This window comes from Homo sapiens, chromosome 17 (genome assembly GCF_000001405.40).
Source record: "Homo sapiens chromosome 17, GRCh38.p14 Primary Assembly".
NCBI classification, from domain to species: Eukaryota; Metazoa; Chordata; class Mammalia; order Primates; family Hominidae; genus Homo; species Homo sapiens.
Window position 1 is genome coordinate 64,813,486 of NC_000017.11, and position 22,611 is coordinate 64,836,096.

A 22,611-nucleotide genomic window follows, 5' to 3' on the forward strand; every position below is an offset into this window, starting at 1 on the left:
ATTAAAGCTAAACATAAGCCACCCAAGGACCTAGCAATTCCATTCCCAGGTATATATACCCACAGAAATAAGCACCGAGTTTCTCCAAAAGCATGTATGAGAATGTTCACTACAGCTTTCTTCATAATAGTCAAAACCTGGAAACAACCCAAATGTCCATTAACGGGAGAATGGATAATAGGTTGCGATATATTTTTACAATGGAATACTGCAGAACAATGGAAAAGAATTAACTACAGCCTCATGCTATATGTACAGCCACACACCACCATGCCCAGCTAATTTTTGTATTTTTTGTACAGATGGGGTCTCACTTTGTTACCCAGGTTGGTCTCCAACTCCTGGGCTCAAGCAATCCTCCCTCTTGGTCTCCCAAAGCGCTGGGGTTACAGGTGTGAGCCACCATGCCCAGCCCCCAAATATTTTCATTTTAACTTGTAATCCATAAAAATGAGATTTTCTATTCTTTTATCATACTAAGTTATTGAAATCCAGCGCTTATTTCACATGGCACATCTCCATTTGGACTTGCCACATTTTAAGTGTACAACAGCCACACGTGGCTTGTAGCTGCCATATTGGACAGCACGGCTCTAAAACCTGGGTCATGTTGCAAAGTGAGTATGTTCAAGGCCTAGTATTTTCTAAAAATATTAATTTAATAGGCTGAGTGCACCAGCTCATGCCTGTAATCCCAGCACTTCAGGAGGCCCAGGCAAGAAGATCGAGACCAGCCTGGCCAACATGGTGAAACCCCATCTCTACTAAAAATACAAAACTTAGCCAGACATGGAGGTGGGCACCTGTAATCCCAGCTACTCAGGAGGCTGAGGCAGGAGAATTGCTTGAACCCAGGAGGCGAAGGTGGCAGTGAGCAGAGATTGTGCCACTGCATTCCAGCCTGGGCAACAGAGCAAGACTCCATCTGAAAAAAATACCAAAAACCAAAAATCAAAAAATATTAATTTAATAATAACAAGTACTAAGGAGGAAATGAAGGTTCAGAGAGCTGAAGTGACTTGCCCAAGGCCTTATGCTGGTGAGTGGTAGTGGTTAAAGAGCTGAGACTGCGGTCAGACTGAGAACGACCTTCACAAAGTGACGTGAAAATGACAGGAGATACACACGGGAAGTGATCAGCACAGTGCCGGGCTTATATCTATAGCTCACATGCCAAGAAACAGCCGGGCTTATATCTACAGCTCACATGCCAAGAAACATGAGCCCCATCATCATGATGCTATTAACACTATCACTATGCAGGGAGAGGAAGGCTAACAGGGAGAAGGCAGAGACCACTCAGGGTCACTAGCTGGGGAAACCCTGTGTCAGCTGACATTTCCCAAGACCGCCCCCTGAACGGCTTGCACCACTCACCGGACTGGTGGGTGAGGAAACTACCAGCTTCAGACCAGCTCCGTCATGAGCCTGGGCCTTCTGCAGGCCATTCCCTTGGCCCACTTCTCTGGCTGTCTCGCTGACAGTACTAGAAGGCTGCTGGCCTGAGGTGCTCTCTACAGGCTGCTGTAAGTCCAGGGGGCTGGGCGCCTGGGGATGCGGCTCCTGCACGTGGACACCATCTTGAGTTCCAGAGGCTGCCTGGGCAGGAAGGGGCTCTGCAGGTGCCTCACAGTGCAGGTGTGTGCTGGTGTTGAGGCCATGGAGGGAGAGTTAGGCCTGTGGTGTGGGGATCTCCGTTTCTTGGCTCAGTCCGTTGGTTGGCACAGTTTACCTGGGCTTTGCTGAATTCCAACAATACCATAGAAGTTTTAAACAAAGAAACCTGTGTGACAGGTTGTCTGCGATAATGCCCAAGGCAACTGGGGCAGAGGGAAGAATGCAAAACTGCTGTTTTATGATTTAAAACAACCCACACCCTCTAAATGATCCACTGCACTCCCCCTCACACAGTCCTCCTCTGACACTCCCACCACGTTTTTCCTGGCCAGGATTTAGGCAGACTGCGTGGACAGGTGATGTGTGGAGCCTGGGATCTCAGGCGAAAAAGCTCCCCAGCAGAGGAAGAGGACTTGGTATGAATGAGGACTTACTGGCATTCTGAGCAGGCTAGCTGTGGGCCTGGAGAGCTTGCTCAGCCAAACACATGGTTGTGTGGGCAATCGTTTCCCCAAACATGGTATGCAGCAGAGCCTCCTCCTCCACAGCACAGGGAGTAGAGATGCCAGGACTCTGTGCCCTGGGGCAGGGACTAGGAGAAGCGAGGGCTAGGCAGGTTTCCTAAGCGAGGTCATACTTTGTTCCTGTGCAGGCACTGGGACAGCAAGGGGAGGTGCAAGGGCTGGTCCCCTCAGAGCTGGACTGGAGGTGGAGACAGAGAAGCTTCACATCCCCAGAAACTGCTGCTGGAGCTCAATGTATACCAGGTGTGTGAGGGTGGATATGAGTACACACGAGATGTGCCCCTGCTCAGTCTCCATGGTGGGACTGCCACTCCCTGTCTCCTCCGTGCTGCTTCCTGGGGCCACAGGGAGCAAATGTTACTGCCTTGGTACACGTGCGTGTACACCACACTCACACATACACACTGCACAGAAACATGCCCTGGGCCCTCTGGAATGTGCACTGACTAGCAACTGCTCCTCCCTCTCCTGAGGCTTCTTCTGAGGATCCAAGCTCCATTTTGAAAATAAACCCGTTTGCTCTCTCTTCTGCTTATAAAACCAGTGGAGCATGTCATGGGCAAAGCCTGGTTCAGGTGGCCACAGGCTGTCTAAGGCCCCAAAGCCTCCCTGCATCTGCCCTGATGGCTTGGACTGGGTCCAGAAGATACATGAAGCTCTGCTTAATTTGGGCTTATGGAAATGAGGATTTTAGAATTCAAGTTGCTTACCTGATTGTCTTTCCAGTGAGCTCTGCACCATCTTAACCCCAAACAACATTTCAAGACATTATCGTCAAGAATAGGTGGCCAATCCATACATGTATAAGTAACTGATTTTGGCCGGGTGTGGTGGCTTACATCTGCAATCCCAGCACTTTGGGAGGCTGAGGTGGGTAGTAGAACCACAAGATCAGGAGTTCAAGACTAGCATGGCCAAGATGGTAAAACCCCGTCTCTACTAAAAATACAAAAATTAGCCAGGCTTGGTGGCAGGCGCCTGTAATCCCAGCTACTCGGGAGGCTGAGGCAGAGAATTGCTTAAACCTGGGAGGTGGAGGTTGCAGTGAGCCGGGACTGTGCCACTGCAATCCAGCCTGGGTGAAAGAGCGAGACTCCATCTCAAAAAAAAAAAAGTAACTGATTTTCAACATAGACACCAACACATTTTAATGGGGAGGGAATAGTCTTTTCAACAATTGTGCTGAGATAAGTGGATAATCACATGCAAAAGAAAAAAGCTGGACTGCTATCTCACATTGTATACAAAAATTAACTCAAAGTGGATTAAAGACCTAAAGGTAAGAGCTAAAACTGTAAAACTCTTAGAAGGAAAGAGAGGTATAAACTTCATGTCTTTGGATTAGGCAACGGTTTCTTAGATGTGAGATCTACAGCATAAGAAAGCAATAAAAAATAAATTGTAATCCCAGCACTTTGGAGGCCAAGGCGGGTGGATCACCTGAGGCCAGGAGTTCGAGATCAGCCTGGCCAACATAGTGAAACCCTGTTTCTAATAAAAATACAAAATTAGTTGGGGGTGGTGGTGGTGCGCACCTGTAATCCCACTACTTGGGGGGCTAAGGCAGGAGAATCACTTGAACCCGGGAAGGGGAGGCTGCAGTGAGCCGAGATCACACCACTGCACTCCAGCCTGGGCAACAAAGTGAAACTCTGTTTCAAAAAACAAAAATAAAAAACGTTTGTGTGGTTTTTTTTTTTTTTTTTTGAGACTGAGTCTCACTCTGTCGCCCAGGCTGGAGTGCAGTGGCGCCATCTCGGCTCACTGCAAGCTCCGCCTCCCGGGTTCATGCCATTCTCCTGCCTCAGACTCCCGATTAGCTAGGACTACAGACGCCCGCCACAACGCCCAGCTAATTTTTTGTATTTTTTTTTTTTTAGTAGAGATGGAGTTTCACCGTATTAACCAGGATGGTCTCGATCTCCTGACCTCGTGATCCTCCTGCTTTGGCCTCACAAAGTGATGGGATTACAGGAGTGAGCCACCGTGCCTGGCCAAAACGTTTGTGTTTTAAAGGATACTATCAAGACAGTAAAAAGACAATTCAAAGAATCGGGGGAAATATTTTTAAATTATACAGAAGGGCCTATTATCCAGAATATACACAGAACACTTACAAATGAACAATAAAAAGACAAATAACTAAATGTTTAAATGGGCAAACGATCTGAACAGACATTTCTCCAAAGAAGATATCCAAATGTTTGATAAGCACATGAAAAGACACTCAACATCATCAGTCATCAGAGAAATGCAAATCAAAACTACAATGAAATACCACTTTATACCCACTGGGTTGATTGTAATAAAAAAGACAGAAAATAATAAGGGTGGCAAAGATGTAGAGAAATTAAAGCTTGTATATATTAGTGGTGGGGATGTAAAATGACGCAACTACTGCAGAAAACAATTTGGTAGTTCCTCAAGAAGTTAAACATAGAGTTACATATGACCCAGCAATTCCACCCCTAGGTATGTAACTAAGAGAATTAAAAACATGTCTACCCAGGCTGGGCGTGGTGGCTCATGCCTGTAATCCCAGCACTTTGAGAGGCTGAGCCAGGCGGATCACCTGAGGTCAGGAGTTCACCTGGCCAACATAGTGAAACCCTTTCTCTACAACAAGTACAAAAATTAGCTGGGTGTGGTGGCAGGCCCCTATAATCCCAGCTACTCAGGAGGCTGAGGCAGGAGAATCGCTTGAACCCAGGAGGCGGAGGTTGCAGTGAGCCGAGATCATGCCACTGCACTCCAGCCTGGGGACAGAGCGAGACTCCGTTTCAAAAAATAAATAAAATATTGAATAAAATAAAATACAACAATACCATCGATTGAGCACTATTGATGCCTCTGTGCCAGGGACCATTCTAAGTACTTAAATCTAAGTACTTAAACCCTCCAGACTATACCTATGCCACTCAGTGATGATTATAATACAGATCCAATCTACACAGAAGAAGCTATTTAGGACAGTCAATTCACTAGGCCAACTGCAATTTGGTTTCTGCCAAACAGAACCGATTTATATTAATAAATTTCATTTTGAATGTTGTGTCTTTTATGCTTTTCTTTATGTTTGATTTGTGGATGTTTTGATTTTATATGTGTAATGATAAGCACAAGGAATTTATGTCTAATTTAAAGTTACAAATATTTAAATAATGTAATAACTTTGATGAACTCTAAGTGTCAGTGAGAACATTTTACCCTTGAAATATACACTTCAAGAAATGCTGGTCTCTGTGGATGCTCAAGGACTAACTTCAAGGCCCAGCTCTACGAATGCTGGTGCTGGCTGTGTGTTTGTGCATCTGTATGTCTTACATTTGCCAGTTACTCACACCACTGTCCGGCATTTGTCTATACATCCTGACCCTTGCCCCTCCAGTTTCTCCATAATAGCCGGGACAACACTTCCTGCACAGAGAGGATGGTCACTGATTCAGTGACCTTAAGCTGGAATTTTCCATCACAAGACACATGAGATAAAGGCGAGACATATGACAAGGGGATGGCTGGCTGGTCTGCAGAGGAGGCAGACACACAGGAAGGGCTAAGACAGGTGAGTAAACCTAGGTCATGCCCTGTGCTCGGGACACACTGCAGGCCTGTCATGCCATGGTCCCAGTGGTCACAGGAGGCAGAGACTGTTCCTCCCCAATGTATTCTATCTAAATTCCTCCATTTAACATTTGAAAACTCCACCTAATGTGCTCAGAAGCCATTTCTGGGCCTACGAGACAATCTCCTATATTGTTTGACTAACAAGCAATGTGCCTGACCTTCCTGGGCTTGTAAGTGGTGGAACAGGACTCGAAACTAGGTCTGCTCCAAGCCCAGTCTGTAACACCACCCAATGCTGGTGCTCTTTCCATGCTGGGTGAGAACCCTGGAGGGACCTGAACCAAGGCGAGGGCACAGGGCCAGTGGAAAGAAGGTCCCAAACACGTGGGACCTTCTTTTCCGCTGATGCAACATGGATCCAGCTGAAGGAGGCTTTTAATAAGAAGTTCCCATTTTCCACCTATCAGATGAGCAAATATCCAAAAGTTCACTAATACCATCAGTTGGCAAGGCTAAGAAACAAGGACATTCCTGGTGGAGTGTAAATGGGCAATAATCTGTGAACATTCCATATTAGTCTATCCTTTTGCTCGGCAATTTTGCTTCTGGGAGTTTATGGAACAGAGATAGCTACGCAGAACTAAAAGACCACATACACAAGGTTATTTATGAAAACACAGGCCCCAGCACCCATTAAATACTGGGCTGATTAAGTAAACTAAGGTACATTGATACACTAGAACAATATGCAATAGAAAAAAAAAGAATGAGGCTGAGCGCAGTGGCTCACGCCTGTAATCCCCAGCAATTTGGGAGCCTGAGGCAGGAAGATCTCTTGAGCCCAGGAGTTCAAGACCAGCCTGGGCAACACAGTGAGACCCCCGTCTCTATAAAAAATAAAAATAAAAGAATGAAGAAGCTCTGATATGAAAAGATCTTCTCCAAAACAAGATATAGAACAGTGTGTATATACTGCCTTTGTAGGAGAGAAAGTAATAAATAAGGAAGACATTTTAAAAATCTTGTTTTTTTTTTTGGGACAGAGTCTCACTCTGTCACCCAGGCTGGAGTGTAGTGGCACAATCTCAGCTCACTGCAAGCTCCGCCTCCCGGGTCCACACCATTCTCCTGCCTCAGCCTCCTGAGTAGCTGGGACTTCAGGCGCCCGCCACCACGCCCGGCTAATTTTTTGTATTTTTAGTAGAGATGAGGTTTCACCGTGTTAGCCAGAAAGGTCTCGATCTCTTGACTTTGTGATCCGCCTGCCTCGGCCTCCCAAAGTGCTGGGATTACAGGCGTGAGCCACTGCGCCCAGCTGAAAATCTTTATACTGGTATTTGTTGTAGATGCATTTAGAAATTTGGAAGAATATACAGGAAATTGATTATTATGGTTTTAGGGGTGGGAGGAAAGAACAGGGTAGAGGGAGAACAGGAATGGGAAAGGCTTTCACTGTATATGTTTTAGATTTTTTTTTAACCATAAAAAGATTATCTATGCAAATTTTTTATTTTATTTATTTATTTATTTATTTATTTATTTATTTTTGAGACAGAGTCTTACTCTGTCACCCAGGCTGGAGTGCAGTGGTGCGGTCTCAGCTCACTGCAAGCTCCACCTCCCAGGTTCACGCCATTCTCCTGCCTCAGCCGCCCATGTAGCTGGGACTACAGGCGCCCGCCACCATGCCCAGCTAATTTTTTGTATTTTTAGTAGAGACGGGGTTTCACCATGTTAGTCAGGATGGTCTCAATCTCCTGACCTCGTGATCCACCTGCCTTGGCCTCCCAAGGTGCTGGGATTACAGGCGTGAGCCACTGTGCCCAGCTGCAAAAAAATGTTTAAAAGGCTGTGTGAAGAAGGCTCTGCCCAGTTCTCTCTTCAGCCTAGTTCATCTGCCCCACATACTCTTCCACACATCTGTCTGTCCCCACCTGTCCACCACCTCCTGCATGCAGCACTCAGGTCCTGTGTCCCCCGGGAGGTATTCTGTGAAGTCACACTCTTATGCGTTATGTTTCATCTATTTGTTGGAAGTTTTAAATGTACTCTGACCTATTAGTTTCCTTCCTTCTAGATGAAGACAACAATATTTTACACTGTGCCTTGTAGAGACTAAGTATCTTGTTTTTTTGTTGTTATTGTTTGTTTTCAGTTTTTGTTTTATTTATTTATTTATTTATTTTTAATTTAGAGGCAGGATCTTGCTACATTGCCCAGGCTGGCCTCGAACTGCTGGGCTCAAGCAATCCTCCTGTATCAGCCTCCCAAGTGCTGGGATTTCAGGCATGAGCCACTGCACCCGGCCAAGTAACTTGCTAAAAGTCACCGGGGCAGAGCTGGAGCCCAAACCAGCTCTAAGCTGTTCTAAGTCCACTTTCTCCACTATGCCTGTATTGCCTGCTACAGTTCCCAGCTACTCCAGTCCCTGGAGAAGTCGATGACTCCCTTGGCTTTCTTTAATTACTAATAGAGTTCAGTAACAGACAATCACATGCTATGGGAAGAAAGGGAGGAGGAGAGGAAAGAAAGGAGTGAAGAGAGAAGATGGGAAGGAGTGGGGGCAGGGTACTCACTCTTGCAGAGACTGGTCTGAGTCCTCAGCATTTGCTGTGCCCAGGTCTGAGTCATAGGACATGGGCTCCTCGCAATGGTCTGGACTCTTGGAGCCATTCTCTTGGAGTAAGCAGCTATCAGAGTTTAGGCTGCAGGACAGCTGGGATGAACTGGCCGTGTCCAGGCTGAGGGAGGAGGCAGTCGGCTTCTGGTTCCTCCGTATCTTATGGCCCGAGTGATGGACTTCGATGTCTTCAGAGCCTGAAGAATGGGAAATGGAATCCAGAGATTCCTTCCGCTGTAGTTCTGCACCAGAGGTAGAGAGAGGGTCCAGCTCAGAAAGCGGGCAAAGCCCAGACAGGGCCAGTGGGGTGAGCGTCCACTCATTTAAGATGGCAGACTTGTAGGAGAGTTCGAAGGACAAGGACATGAGGCCCTGCAGGAAGCTAAGGAGGAACTCGCCCTCCTCAGCATCCCGGAGCAGGGCGGTGGGCTGGTAGTACTCACGCAAGCGGGCCTGCTCCTGCAGCAGCAGCTTCAGGTAGCACTCCATCAGGCCATTGTTCAGGGCCAGCCGCAGCCATGCCCGGCAGCGGCCCACATCCATGTTGACAAACGTCAGGTGCTCCAACTCTGAGATGATGTGTCTGGGAAGGGAGAACAGACGTGTTTCAAGAAACTACCCCAAATCACAGAGATGTGCTTTTATCCACTGATGAGCAGGAACCAGGAGTAACTACTGCAAATAGATACAGGCATGAAAAAATATTGGGTAATAGTGTTTTAGGCCAGATGTGGTGGCTCACACCTGTAACCCCAGCACTTTGGGAGGCCAAGGCAGGTGGATCACTTGAGCTCAGGAATTCGTGACCAGCCTGGGCAACAGGACGAAACTCTGTCTTTACAACAACAACACAGCCAGATGTGGTGGCTTGCACACGTAGTCCCAGCTACCCAGCTACTCGGGAGGTTGAGGTGGAAGGATAGCTTGAGCCTGGGAAGCAAAGGTCACAGTGAGCAGAGATTGGACCACTGCACTCCAGCCTAGGCAATATATATATATATTTATATTTATATATAATAAATATATATAAATATAAATTATATATATTTATACATTATATATATATTTTTTGAGATTGGAATTGTGAAAGATAATTTCCATGTTCATTCCAACTACCACGGGGCCCCTGACACATCTGCTCATCCAAGGCATGCTGTCAGAGCTCCTTAAGTGCAAGGTCCTTGGAGCAATGAAGATGCAGGGTAAAGACATGGTCCCTGCCCTCAGGCACAAGGAACTGATGAAAAAAGGCATAAAGGGTAGGAAATCAACAACCCTGTAAGAGGATTGGGGAGCGCTCCAATTACAGCATGTGGCAGAAAAGTGGGTGGTTTGGTTGCAAGGCCAGGAAAGAGAGGGTCTTAAATATCAAATCAATAAGGCAACAAGGGGTAATGGCCCCACACCCAGCTGTGCACCAGAATCCCCTGGGGAACTTGAGCAGGATACAAGTTCTGGGACCCCAACCTAGTGAATCAGTCTCCAGGCTAGCATCTGGGAGCCTGTAGGCTACAGATTTTTGTTTAGAAAAGTGACTTGACCACAGTCATGCAGACTGCAGGGTAGATGTTCTGCATAAGGAGATCAGACCCCAGGTGTACCAAACTCAGTCCCAGAATGCCTCCGTCTGATGTACATGCCCCTCTGAGCTACCACAGTCCCTAGCGCAGGTTTATCTCCTCCATGGGAATGTCGACCGCACTCTACTAGGCTCAGTGAGTAAGCTCCAGGGAGCTTCAGCTCAGTAAATGTTGACCAGATGATGGACTCAAGGAAAGACAGAGTGAGATAAGGGGGAACAATCGAAAGCCAGTGTCACCCAGGAAAGAAGAACGTGAGACAAGGCAGTGGCAATCTGCATGGAAAGGAAGATTAGAGACTGACAAGGCTTCTTTTGGGCTGAAGATGGCATTTAGTAGTCCTCAGAGGCACAGTGCCAGCTACTTGCTCAAAAGCCCAGACAGTTAGGGGCCAAAGAGATAAGTGTCTCCGGGTGAATATTCATATGCTTTTCCTGATTCCACTCTTTAATAAAAATAACCCCATACCTCCTTAAGAGATAACATTAATGGCTGGGCGCGGTGGCTCATGCCTATAATCCCAGCACTTTGGGAGGCGGAGGTAGGCAGATCACAAGGTCAGGAGTTTGAGAGCAGCCTGACCAACATAGCAAAACCCTTCTCTACTAAAAATACAAAAATTAGCTGGGCGTGATGGTGCGTGCCTGTTGTCCCAGTTACTCAGGAGGCTGAGGCAGGAGAATTGCTTGAACCTGGGAGGCAGAGGTGCCAGTGAACCGAGATCGCGCCATTGCACTCCAGCCTGGGTGACAGAGCGAAACTCCGTCCCAAAAAAAAAAAAAAGATTTACAATTCGGATGTTTGAATAATCTAAGGCAGGGTCAGCAAATCTAAGGCAGGGTCAGCCCGTCTGTAAAGGGCCAGATAGTAAATTCTTCAGGCTTTGCAGGCCACACAACCTCTGTTGTAACTATGTAATTCTGCCCCAGTGTGGCAAAAAAGGCTGTTCCTGCTAAAGGTGGCCAGTCTCACCTGTTTTTTGTGACCAGTCTCAAAGCAGCCACAGGCTCTTGCCTGAGTGCTGAGGGTCTCAAGATCTGCTGGCACACTGGCTGGGAAGCTTGGTCTAGAGATAAGCCTTTCTAGAAGACACTTTCAACCCCTACCTCACCCTCTCTCTATGCTAGAACACAGGGCACCTCTGTTGGCTTCCTGAACAGCCGGGGAGGAAAAGCCAAGTGTCCCATACTCTGCTGCTCCTCTGCAAAGCAAAACCTCTCCAGCTAAATCTCACTTGGGGGTGACAGCTTTCAGGAGGGGCCAGAAGACAGGCTGGGGCAGAGGCTTCTGGTGGGCACTTTTCTTCCTTTTTCCTCCGGCCTCAGCTCGGATGTGCTTGGTGTGCAGGCCATGGATAAATACGGCCTCCAGGGCGCTGCACATGGTGTTGGCATCTCCGTCTTCACTAGTGACCACCATGTCCAGGGACACGTACTGCTTTTGCAAGGCTTTCACGGATCCCACCAGCTTCTTCTTGATGACCTAGGCAGCACCACACAGAACACAGGCCTTTAGCAGAAAATCCTATGGAGAGTCCCTAGAGTGTAATCCTTTAGCTGGTGCCAAATATATGTGCAACCACATGCACACACACCTATGTGTGTGTCTGTAGATTCCTTCTGCAAAATTAGCACATTGTTAACTACAGCAAAGAAAGATAAAGCATAGAGAAGAAAAGGAAAATCACACACACTACCCAGAGATAATTACTGTTATTGTTGTTTCATATGTCCTTTAGTGTAGATACTTTTTGTTTTTTAGACCAAACTTAAGTGAACTTAGAGCCATATAATCTTGTGTTTAAATATTGGCCCCATCATAGCTGCAGTGATGGGAGCTTGGGTAAATCCATCTAGGACAAGGTTGGGGCTTCCCACCTTTTTTACATGGACAAGCTTCTGTAGAGAATCAATAAGCCAAGAGGCAAAAACTAACAAACAATAAACACCCACACTGCTTTAGAACAATAAAAACATGAGGAGAACAGGAGCATGGTTTACTTTAAGAAAGATCCTACGCTGGGCGTGGTGGCTCAAACCTGTAATCCCAGAACTTCGGGAGGTCAGAGGCAGGAGGACTGCTTGAGTCCAGGAGTTCAAGGCTGCAGTGAGCTGTGATCACACCACTGTACTCCAGCCTGGGCAACATAGCAAGACCTTGTCTCAAAAAAAGAAAGATCCTAGGCCTGGAAGCCAGAGGACTAGGCTCAGTCCTAGCTGTCAGTAACCAGATGGGCCTCCTCAGACATTCCACTTAACCGCTTTGAGCCTCAATTTCCTTATCTGTTAAAGTGGAAATAATACTTTCTGATTTATAGTACTATGAGGATTCTCCTGAGGACAGGACTACCTTTTTTTTTTTTTTTTTTTTGGGAAGTGGTTTCTGGTGAAAACCAGAAAACCTACTAGATAAATTCTAAAAAGAGGCTGGGTGTGGTGGCTCACGCCTGTAATCCCAACACTTTGGGAGGCCAAGGCAGGCGGATCACTTGAGGACAGGAGTTTGAGATCAGCCTGGCAAACATGATGAAACCCTGTCTCTACTAAAAACGCAAAAATTAGCCAGGTGTGGGCCGGGCACGGTGGCTCACGCCTGTAACCCCAGCACTTTGGGAGGCCGAGGTGGGTGGATCACGAGGTCAGAAGATCGAGACCATCCTGGATAACAGGCTGAAACCCCATCTCTACTAAAAATGCAAAAAAATAGCTGGGCATGGTGGCAGGCGCCTGTAGTCCCAGCTACTCGGGAGGCTGAGGCAGGAGAATGGCGTGAACCCGGGAGGTGGAGTTTCCAGTGAGCCGAGATCGTGCCACTGCACTCCAGCCTGGGCGACAGAGCGAGACTCCGCCTCAAAAAAAAAAAAAAAAAAAAAAATAGCCAGGTGTGGTGGTGAGTGCCTGTAATCCCAGCTACTTAGGAGGCTGAGGCAGGAGAATCACTTAAACCCGGGAGGCAGAGGTTGTACTGAGCCAAAATCATGCCACTGCATTCCAGCCTGGGTGGCAGAATGAGACTCCATCTCAGAAAAACAAAACAAAACAAAACAAAACAAAAAACATGTATATAAAAGAGCTGAGTGTGGCACTAAGACTAGTGTTTTATTCATCCTTGTGTCAACACTTGGCACTGTGCCTGGCACATAGAAATACTCAATAAATGTTTGTTAAATGAATACACCACAAAATGTACAGAGTCTTTTGGAAATATAGAGTAAAAATTGAGCATAATTATAAGTATGTGAAAATCACATAAGTGATTGGAAAAGAACTGGAAAGGATTACAGAAAAACTGGTTTGAATTGTTGGGTGATAGGATTATGGCTACATATTTTAATCTTTTATTTTGATTTCAGCCAAAACACTAAATGTTAACATTCTTTGAAAAGTTAAATTTGAAAAAATATAACGGTTTTAATGAGATATAATTCATATACCATAAAATACACCCATTTAAAGTATACAGTTCAATTGTTTCTAGTATATTCACACAATTGTGCAACCATCACCACTACCTAATTTTAGAAGATTTTCTGGCCGGGCACGGTGGCTCACGCCTATAATCCCAGCACTTCGGGAGGCCAAGACGAGTGGATCACCTGAGGTCAGGAGTTCGAGACCAGCCTGGCCAAGATGGTGAAACCCTCATCTCTACTAAAAATACAAAAATTAGCCGGGCATGGTGGTGCACACCCATAATCCCAGCTACTTGGGAGGCAGAGGCATGAGAATCACTTGAACCTGGGAGGTGGAGTTTGTGGTGAGTCAAGATCGTGCCACTGCACTCCAGCCTGGGCAGCAGAGTGAGACTCCGTCTCAAAAAACAAACAAACAAACAAACAAACAAACAAAAAAACCGATTTTCATCACCCCAAAAAGAAATACTGTATATTAGTGATTGCCAGTGGCTGGGAGAAAGGGGAATACGAAGTGAATGCAGTCACTAATCTATTTTCTGTTTCTGCGGCTTTGCATATTTTGTACATCTCACATGAATAGATATCAATACAGCATACGACCCTTTGAATCTGACTTATTTCACTTAGCATATTTTCCATCAAGTTGTAGCATGTATCAGGACTTCATCCCTTTTTATTGCCAGAAAATATTCCGCTGCCTAGATATACCACATTTTATTCATCCATTCATCAGTTAATAGACATTTGGGTTGTTTCTACTCTTTTGCTATTATCAATAATGCTGCTATGAACATCCATGTACAAGTTTTTGAGTGGACTCATATTTCTAGTTCTCTTGGGTATATATCTAGGAGTGGAATTGTACACATAACCCTATGTTTAACTTACCAAGGAACTGGCAAACTGTGTGCCAAAGTGGCTGCACTATTTTACATTCCCACCAACAATATATGAGTTCCAATCTCTCCACATTTTTGCCAGCACTAGTTATTGCCTTTTTTATTACAGCCATCCTAGGGGGTGTGAAGTAGTATCTCACTGTGGTTTCGATGTGCATTTTCCTGATGTCTAATGATAATGAGCATCTTTATTGGCCATGTGTGTATCTTCTTTGGAGAAGGGTCTATTCAAATCCTTTACCCATTTTATAACTGGATTATTTGTCTTTTTATTGTTGAGTTATAAGTGTTCTTTATACATTCTGGATACTAGACCCTTATCAGATATTTGATTTGCAAATATTTTCTCCCATTCTGTGGGTTGTCTTTTCATTTTCTTGATAGTATCCTTTGAAGCTCAAAAGTTTTTAATCTTGAAATAGTCTAATTTTAAATGTTCTTTTAAAAGCAAGATGTTATTTGTATATTATATTTAAAAAGTACATACATACTTCGTTCAATTGAGCACCTACTAGGTGTTGGGTTAGGGTATACAGGGAGAAATAAGGCATACCCTCAAGAAAGGCATACCCTCATGGAGTCAGTTTGTGCAGCTGTTGTTAGAAGGCTGGGTTGGCCAGGCTTCTGCCCTAGCTCTGGAGGGTCCTGGGGTGGGATTCGGCAGGCACTGGGGGTGGGAGAGTGGGGGTGCAGAGGGGAGGGAAGAGCCTCTGCATGAAAGCCAGCTGGGAAACAGGTGGAGCTGGACTCTCCTGTGGCCAGGACGGGGAAAGGCACGTCTCTGAGAGCTACAGTTTCTTTCAAGCAGAGAGTTCTCTGAGCTGGGAAGCAGCAGTGGGGAGGAAAGGAAATCCTGGCTTCTCCCCGAAAGCCATCTCAGGATGCTGCTAAGGCACCAGCCCCAAAGCTACCTGACTTCCTACCTCTCCAAGAGAACAGAGAGCTCTATCTGGAGTACCCAAGATAGCCCAGGAGGGTGCAAAGGGCTGTCCAAGAAAAGGTCCTAGGGGGCTCCAGTGAACTGCTCACAAATAATTACATTTAGAATATCCCAGAAAATGGTAAGTGTTCAGATACATGTAAGTTACCAATTTACCCCCATTACTGAAACAACAAACCAGTGCCTGGGAATATCTGTTTCCCACCCATTCAGTGCTTTGGCCAGACTGTGACCAAATCATGGCCTAAGGGCAGAGGGCTGAAGGGCTGAATGGAAATCCTTGGTCTTCAGGTTACTGATCTTAAATTCCCACTGCTTTTCATAAATCTCCATCTTATCACCAATAAGGTGATCTAGAAAAGACAGGGTCTCCTCAGAGCCTGCTTGTGCTATAACTTTTTCTCAACCTGGTCTCTCTTGCAGGACAGTGCCCATTCATTTCGAAGTGAGCCAAGCCGATGATACAACTGTCCCCTGCAGCCCTTCCCCGCCCTTGATCCTCCCTCACCCACCTACCGGGATGGCAGCCTGGGGGTCCAGTCCATTCTCCACCACTGAAAGCATCTCCACTCACGCAGCTGCTCCCTCAGAGAATCACATGACACCTGAAGAGACAGATGGCAGCCAGATGAATGGGCAGGGAACTTCCCCCCAGCCAGAGTCCATTCCCAGCAAGCAGCAGGAGGTCAGCCTCTCTTACTCAAACTGCAACCAAAAAGGCCTTTGAAGAACACAAAAGTAAAAACTGATAATAGATTTGAAGGAAAGAAACAAGGAAGGAAAGCCCAGGGGGCTCAGTCATTGGGAGGCAAGGAGTCCTGGGTGCCAGGGGTGGGTCCACCCCAAGGAGTAGGTGGTAAGGGCGCTTCACATCAAATGCTGCCCAGAAAGCCAAGGCCCTGTAGGATCGAAACCTGTAGGCAGGGAATGACAGGCTGATTCAGATACGGAGCTGCAGGTTCGAGGGGGAGGCTGCAGCTGAAGGTGGCAGGAACCCACTGGGACCAGGAAGCAGGGGCTCACAGGCTCACACATCACATTCAGGGGCTGGGTCCTGCAACACCCTGCCCCCACCCCTCACTCCTGTCCCAGTCCAACATCTGCCAGCTCGGCAGTAAAAAGTACCACTGGAACGGCTTCAAAAGGGGAGGGCTCCCTTGCTACACTTCTGCTCCTCATTTGGGCTTCGAGGGTCTGGCTTGAGCAGCACAGACAGGGACGTGTCTAACCGGGATGACCATGAGGTCTCATCGCAGTTTGCCACTAACCAGGGAGACATGCACAGACCTCTCAGAAGGAGAATGTGTAAAATGCCTGTCACGGGGCCTGATATGTGCCTGTACCTGATATGTTGTACCTGGCATCTGTCATCCCAGTGGATGTGGCCACCTAAACCTACAGACCAAGAATGTCATCGCCTAAATGAGTATGCAGGAAGAGTTGAAGTCAGTGAGTGGTTAAATCCCTCAGGGCTGCCAGCTTCCTCCTGGGAGTGGGTGGGGTGGGGTGGGGTGGGGTGGGTGGGGTGGGGACTTTAGCCTGAGCCTGAGGGGGCTGCTGACTGGCTTGGCCCCACCACAGCAACTTGGACAGACCTGGGCCAGGCAGGCACATTCACTCGTAAACAAATCTCTAGCCAACTCCTGGCTGAGCATCAGGGGAACGCCGGGAAAGGTGATGTCTGTCTGTCTCAGCTCTCAAACAATCACCGCACAAAGAAGTTAACAAAACCAAGAAAAGTTAAATGGGCTCAGTTCTCTTTACATATATTGCCTAATTTATGTTCCTCCTAAGGACCCTAGGAGTGCTGTTTTATTGTCTCCACCTGACAGATAAGGAAATGGCAGCTGACCCAGGTCAAGGAAGTTCCTGAGGTCCCAGGGCTGATAAGCGGCCTGACTCCACCACCAGCCCCCAGGAGGAAGCCAACCCCAGCCCTAGGAAAACCCGATTCCTAAGTGAGTGCTGTAAACCAAAAATAAAATTCTAAGCTCCCCAACTGCCTGAATGGGCCCCCCTTGGCCAAAGGGATTTCAAAAAAACTGAAAACTGAGTTCAGGCCATGACAGGAAGTGGGGCGTGGGCCATGCCTCATCCTAGCCTCTCCCTTTTGGAGCTTAGACACAACTGACCAGCATTAACATTGAAACAGACTCCTAAGACTGACAGAACAGACTCTCAGCAATTAAGACACCAACTCCAACCTGACTGGTCTAACATCACATGGGAGATAACAAGCCCTAAGGAAATCAAAGTATCTTACCCCCAAGTATATTTTTGACATAGTTTGGAATGGCCCTGCAAAGCCATCTCTTGTTGGGAAAATCTATGTCCTGCAGAGATTCCCTTCCCTTTCTAGGCCTTTTCCTGATTTAGAGGAGATTTAACTAAGAGTCTGACACCTTAGAGACATTTACCATCTATTCTCTTGAAGGCTTCATCTACGTAACATGAACCTTGGCTTTCACAACCCACCTTATCTTAAACCCAAGCTTTTCTTCTGCTGACTTTTAACTCTTTAGGCAAAGTTTAACTTTTTCAGCCAATTGCCAATCAGGAAATCTTTTAATCCACCTTACCCTGTCCCCACCAATGTATACCTTACATATATTAATTTATGTCTTTGCCTGTAACTTCTGCCTGTAACTTGGATAAAAATCAAGCTGTACCCCAATCACCTTGGGGACATGTTCTCAGGACCTCCCAGGACTATGTCACAGGTCATGGCCCTCACATTTGGCTCAGAAGAAACCTCTTCGAATATTTAACAGAGTTTGGCTTTTTCATCAACAGTGCCATCACCTCAGAGCTAGGATTCCAGGGGTGGTCTGGGAAGATCCTTTCGCTGGGGGCCGGGAACAGGGGGTGCAGGGGAACATTAAGGCCAGTGTGGCAGGAAAGGTTTCCTGGACAGCCCTGGAGCAGCATGAGGTTTGGAAAGCAGACAGGCAGGCTGGCCCTAAATGGTGGAAGGTGCTCTGATTGGATCTCTGGCTTCTGGGGATAGCAGAGGGCAAACAGGACACAGGGAGTCAGGACCCAGAGCCAACCTCCCTAAGTCAGGTCCCTCAGGAGGAAGCAGGCATGTATGGAGGATGGTTCCTGCAGACCCAGTAACAGGCCGGGTGCTGCAGATGGCCAGAAGAGCCCTCAGTCCTGACTACAGCCCCATCTGACTGCCTCACCCTTCACCATAGTCTGCTCCCAGCTACCCAGGGATTCTCAGAGCCCTCCTCCGGAGACCAGTTCCACATTCTGGCCACGGGGTGACAGGAAAAGGGGGCTGTATGCTGCAGTGACTCTGCATCTAGGGTCACTTCCAGAAACAGGCCTGGTCTTGAGGTCAGGCTCCATCAAGGCTACCCTTTTGCAGCTCAGCAGGCCACGTCCAGCTTCTCTGGCTCCGAAACCCTGGGCTCCAATCCCAATCCACAATTTCCAGTGGCCTGAGGCCCTCAGGCCCACCCTTCTAGAGAGAGCCCGAAGCCCCAAAGTTGCCCTTCCCTTAACCAGCTACAGGGCCGGGACCCTAAGGACTTAGACCCAATAATTTGAATTATAGCCCAGGCCCATTAAGACCTCATTAACTAATTAGCTGAGAGTGATAGAGTATTCACAGAGTATTCACTGGGAGGAGCAGGCCATTGGTAAGTCAGTGCTCTGGCCAAGTAACAGTATGCTAAGAAAACAAAATAGGCCAGGTGCCATGGCCCACACCTGTAATCCCAGCACTTTGGGAGGCCGAGGCAGGAGGTTCACTTGAGGTCAGGAGTTTGAGACCAGCCTGGCCAACATGGTGAAACCCTGTCTCTAATTAAAAAAAAAACAAAAATTAGCCAGGCATGGTGGCCCATGCCTGTAATACCAGCTACTGGTATTACCAGCTACCATACCGGCTGAGGCAGGAGAACCACTTGAACCCAGGAGGCGGAGGTTGCAGTGAGTTGAGATCGTGCCACTGCACTCCAGCCGGGGCAGCAAAGCAAGAATAAATAAATAAATAAATAATTTATGTCTCAAATAAATAAATAAATAATAAACTGAAGCTGGCTGGGCGCGGTGGCTCATGCCTGTAATCCCAGCACTTTGGGAGGCCGAGGCGGGTGGATCACGAGGTCAGGAGATCGAGACCATCGTGGCTAACACGGTGAAACCCCATCTCTACTAAAAATACAAAAAATTAGCCGGGCGTGGTGGCGGGTGCCTGTAGTTGCAGCTACTCGGGAGGCTGAGGGAGAATGGCGTGGACCCAGGAGGTGGAGCTTGCAGTGAGCCAAGATCGTGCCACTGCACACCAGCTTGGGCAACAGAGCGAGACTCCATCTCAAAACAAAAAAAAATTAATAATAATAAACTGAAGCTAAGAGAGACAGGGCCAGACAAGAGAAGGGTCACTTGGCCTAAAACAGAGTCAGAAATGCCACAAAATGACTGACAAGAGCTCAGAGAAATCCAGCAGAAGAGCCACTTGAAAATTCACAAGATAGGACTGAGCCTCTGGGGTTCCAGCCACAATGCAGGACACCTCTGTTTGTAGGCAGCCATAGCACCCCACCTATCTGTATCTGTTCCATCATGCTCAGGGAGGCAGGGCTCAGATGGTCAGTGACATAAGAACTCACGGCAGGAATCAGAAGGAGGCTTTGTGTCTCTTGACTGTGGGGACAGCACTGCGTCACCCACCCTGGTGGCCCAGATTCTGAATCTACCATCCTATGGAACTGGTTCCACTTTCTGTCCTCAAAACGCTCTTCATTGACACAAAGAACCAAAGTGAAGAGAGGTGTGGCTTCAAGGAGACCTACCTGAAGGGAGTGAGGCAAAGCTGGGCAACAGTACCAAAGGGCTCTTGAACATGACGGGTGAAAGCTTAGCAGGGGAAAGGTGACTGGTGCCATTTAGGAAGCCCCAAACCACACCAAGTCTACTGCCACCCTATGTATTCATTCGCCTTCACATAGCTCTCCAGAGTGCAGAAAGCAAGCTTCTCTGATGTCCCTCTCTAACCTCATTTAATTCTCACAGCAATCCCGTGAGAGAGTGATTATCCCTGTTTTACAGAGGACAAAACTGAGGCTCAGTAGCAATGGGTCTCAGGTAAGGGACAGAACTCTCTGGTTTCTTCATCCCAACTCCTGCATCTTTCCCTGGACCAAAAGGCCTCAGGTCTTTGGCTCAAATTCAGACAAACTATTACTTCTTCTTTAGAGGTACGCGGAAGCTCCATTTCATCACAGAAGGTCTGAAACCAACAAGAAACAGTTCTGCCAATCAGGTTTATAGCCCCAACCAGCTGAGACCAGGTCCTACCAATGCTCCTAAAGTCTCAGAGCTATACTTTCTTAAATGTTCCAACATAGTTAGGAAGGAACAGTTCCGGCTGGTTTCCTGCATTATACTGCCTGGCCTTCTCTATATGTCCAATTTCACTTCCTCCAGAGATCAAGGAAGCAAAAAAAGAGAATGACCTGGATGAGACTTACGTTAAAAGAAGAAAGGGATAACCTGGTTTCACCACTCTCAAAACACTCCACCATGACTGAACAGCAACCTCTTCTCTTGAGGGACTCCTCAGCCACTCCCCATGGCCTTCTCTCCACTGCCCGAATTGTGTAACTGGCTGTTCAGAGCCACAGCCTGGCTTTAAGCCATCCAACTGCTGTACCAATTGATGGAGTCATGTTTTTTCAATTGGAAAAGAATGACAAAGTTATCCTCTGATTCAGAAAGGCAGCTGATCTTTCAGGCATGTGAGTGCTGACTGAGGAAACCGCACCTCTGTCCACCTGAGGAAAGCTGGATTTCTGTGATGGGTGGAGTGGTGGGGGTTGGAGCTTTGAAGCAATTAAATACCAGATGAAGGGTGAGAAACTTTTAGTTTGTGATTCCCAAACTCAGGGCTAGTGGATGAGGGCAGAATTGTGGAGTCAGTGAACACTAGCTATCTTTCTTTCCTCCCTCCTTCCTTCCATCCAGTATCACCCAGCTTCCCTGTATTCTTGTCCCATATCCCAGAGGATTCTAACAAGGACCAAACTCTGAATGAATGAAAACAGGACCGTTGCCTGACCCATTCACCATTGTATTTCTAGTACCTGGAACAGTGTTTGGCACAGACTGGTGCTCAAAAAATAAGCTGTTGAATGAATTGATTAATAAAATAAAAACAAGGCACGGGGCACGTACCTCCACTTCACACACTGTGGGAAGTTGGGGTATACAACTCTTAAGTGCTGGGGCAACTGTGGAGCTCCTGTCATTAAGCCAAGCTGCCAATAAGGCTGAAAACAACTTAAATATACTGCATATTAATGGGAGGACATTGAAGGTAAACAGCATTCACTTTTCAAAGGAATACGACTATAAGTGGCAAGCACAGACAATGTTCTTTGGGGCCCTTTAAAACTGCAATCAGCCGGGCACGGCAGCTCACGCCTGTAATCCCAGCACTTTGGGAGGCCGAGGTGGGTGGGTCACCTGAGGTTGGGAGTTGGAGACCAGCCTGATCAACACAGAGAAACCCCCATCTCTACTAAAAACACAAAACTAGCCGGGCATGGTGGTGTATGCCTGTAATCCCAGCTACTCGGGAGGCTGAGGCAGGAGAATCGCTTGAACCTGGGAGGCAGAGGTTGCGGTGAGCCGAGATCATGCCACTGCACTCCAGCCTGGGGAACAAGAGTAAACTCCGTCGAAAAAAAAAAAAAGAAAGAAAGAAAAAAGCTGCAATCAAATGGCCCACCCATCTGATGCCGGGTCCTCAGGATTCAGAGAAAATGTGTACCAAAAAGCCCCCAGGAAACCATAAATGCTGAGCATAGGACTTGGGTGCCTCTGGAATGTCCTTCTGCCTCAGCTACTCTGAGATAACATGGTCCCCTGTGTTCATGGAACCCAGATGGCCAAAAGTCAATGATCCAGCACTTATAAGAAAAGAAAGCGATTCAAGAGCCTCTGTACCCACCTAGGCCTCAGCCTCCCCAGGACCTACTCACCTATACTCTTCACAACAGGTAACGTTGCCTCTGGCACCCATCATATCCCCTGAATTCAGCATCAGGACTGATCTGCCATCAGCTCTGGCAGGGAGAGTCCCTTACAAGTGCCAAGAAAAGGAACATGAACAATATTCTGTGACCACAGCCAACACCACACAGAACTTCCCAGAAGCTCTCCAGGGCGAGAACACCAACCAGAAGGAAGTGACAGCTTCCATCATTCTGTGCTAAGTGAGCTGAGTGAGTGGCCATCTCTCACCTTCCAGATATTTGAATGATACCTACCATTCCAGCAGCCAGCACAAGTCATTTAATATGAATGCCAGAAACACAATCCCTGAGGACAGGTACAGGAGACCAGATGCCAGGAAAAACCCCGGCCCCACCCAAGAGTTGGGGAGAGCCCACTGCTCCTCCACCCTTATTTACCACCTGAGCCCCTGCACCCGCCAAT

At 47.3% G+C, this 22,611-nt stretch overlaps 1 non-coding gene and 2 pseudogenes across 2 annotated transcripts in view, besides 2 other annotated features; all 3 read right to left on the reverse strand.

The window, feature by feature from the left end:
• PLEKHM1P1 (pleckstrin homology and RUN domain containing M1 pseudogene 1) overlaps window positions 1-22,611 on the reverse strand; it is a 52,344-nt pseudogene that overhangs the window by 28,645 nt on the left and 1,088 nt on the right. The window contains exons 2-4 of the transcript NR_024386.2: window positions 15,676-15,764; window positions 8,769-8,908; window positions 8,282-8,567 (exon numbers count right to left, since the gene is read on the reverse strand). The product of NR_024386.2 is annotated as a pleckstrin homology and RUN domain containing M1 pseudogene 1 (transcript). The remainder of the gene's footprint in view (window positions 1-8,281; window positions 8,568-8,768; window positions 8,909-15,675; window positions 15,765-22,611) is intronic.
• Window positions 8,305-8,805: an enhancer, noted in NCBI's record as "H3K4me1 hESC enhancer chr17:62817908-62818408 (GRCh37/hg19 assembly coordinates)". NCBI's record gives its function as "activates a minimal SCP1, AML or CMV promoter by ChIP-STARR-seq in naive H9 embryonic stem cells {active_cell/tissue: H9 hESC(naive)}" and the evidence as "EXISTENCE:reporter gene assay evidence [ECO:0000049][PMID:30033119]".
• MIR4315-2 (microRNA 4315-2) lies at window positions 8,545-8,617 on the reverse strand. The gene has a single exon (NR_036271.1). It is a non-coding gene; the product is annotated as a microRNA 4315-2 (primary transcript).
• Window positions 12,115-12,615: an enhancer, noted in NCBI's record as "H3K4me1 hESC enhancer chr17:62821718-62822218 (GRCh37/hg19 assembly coordinates)". NCBI's record gives its function as "activates a minimal SCP1, AML or CMV promoter by ChIP-STARR-seq in naive H9 embryonic stem cells {active_cell/tissue: H9 hESC(naive)}" and the evidence as "EXISTENCE:reporter gene assay evidence [ECO:0000049][PMID:30033119]".
• On the reverse strand, window positions 12,280-12,334 carry RNU7-115P (RNA, U7 small nuclear 115 pseudogene; annotated as a pseudogene).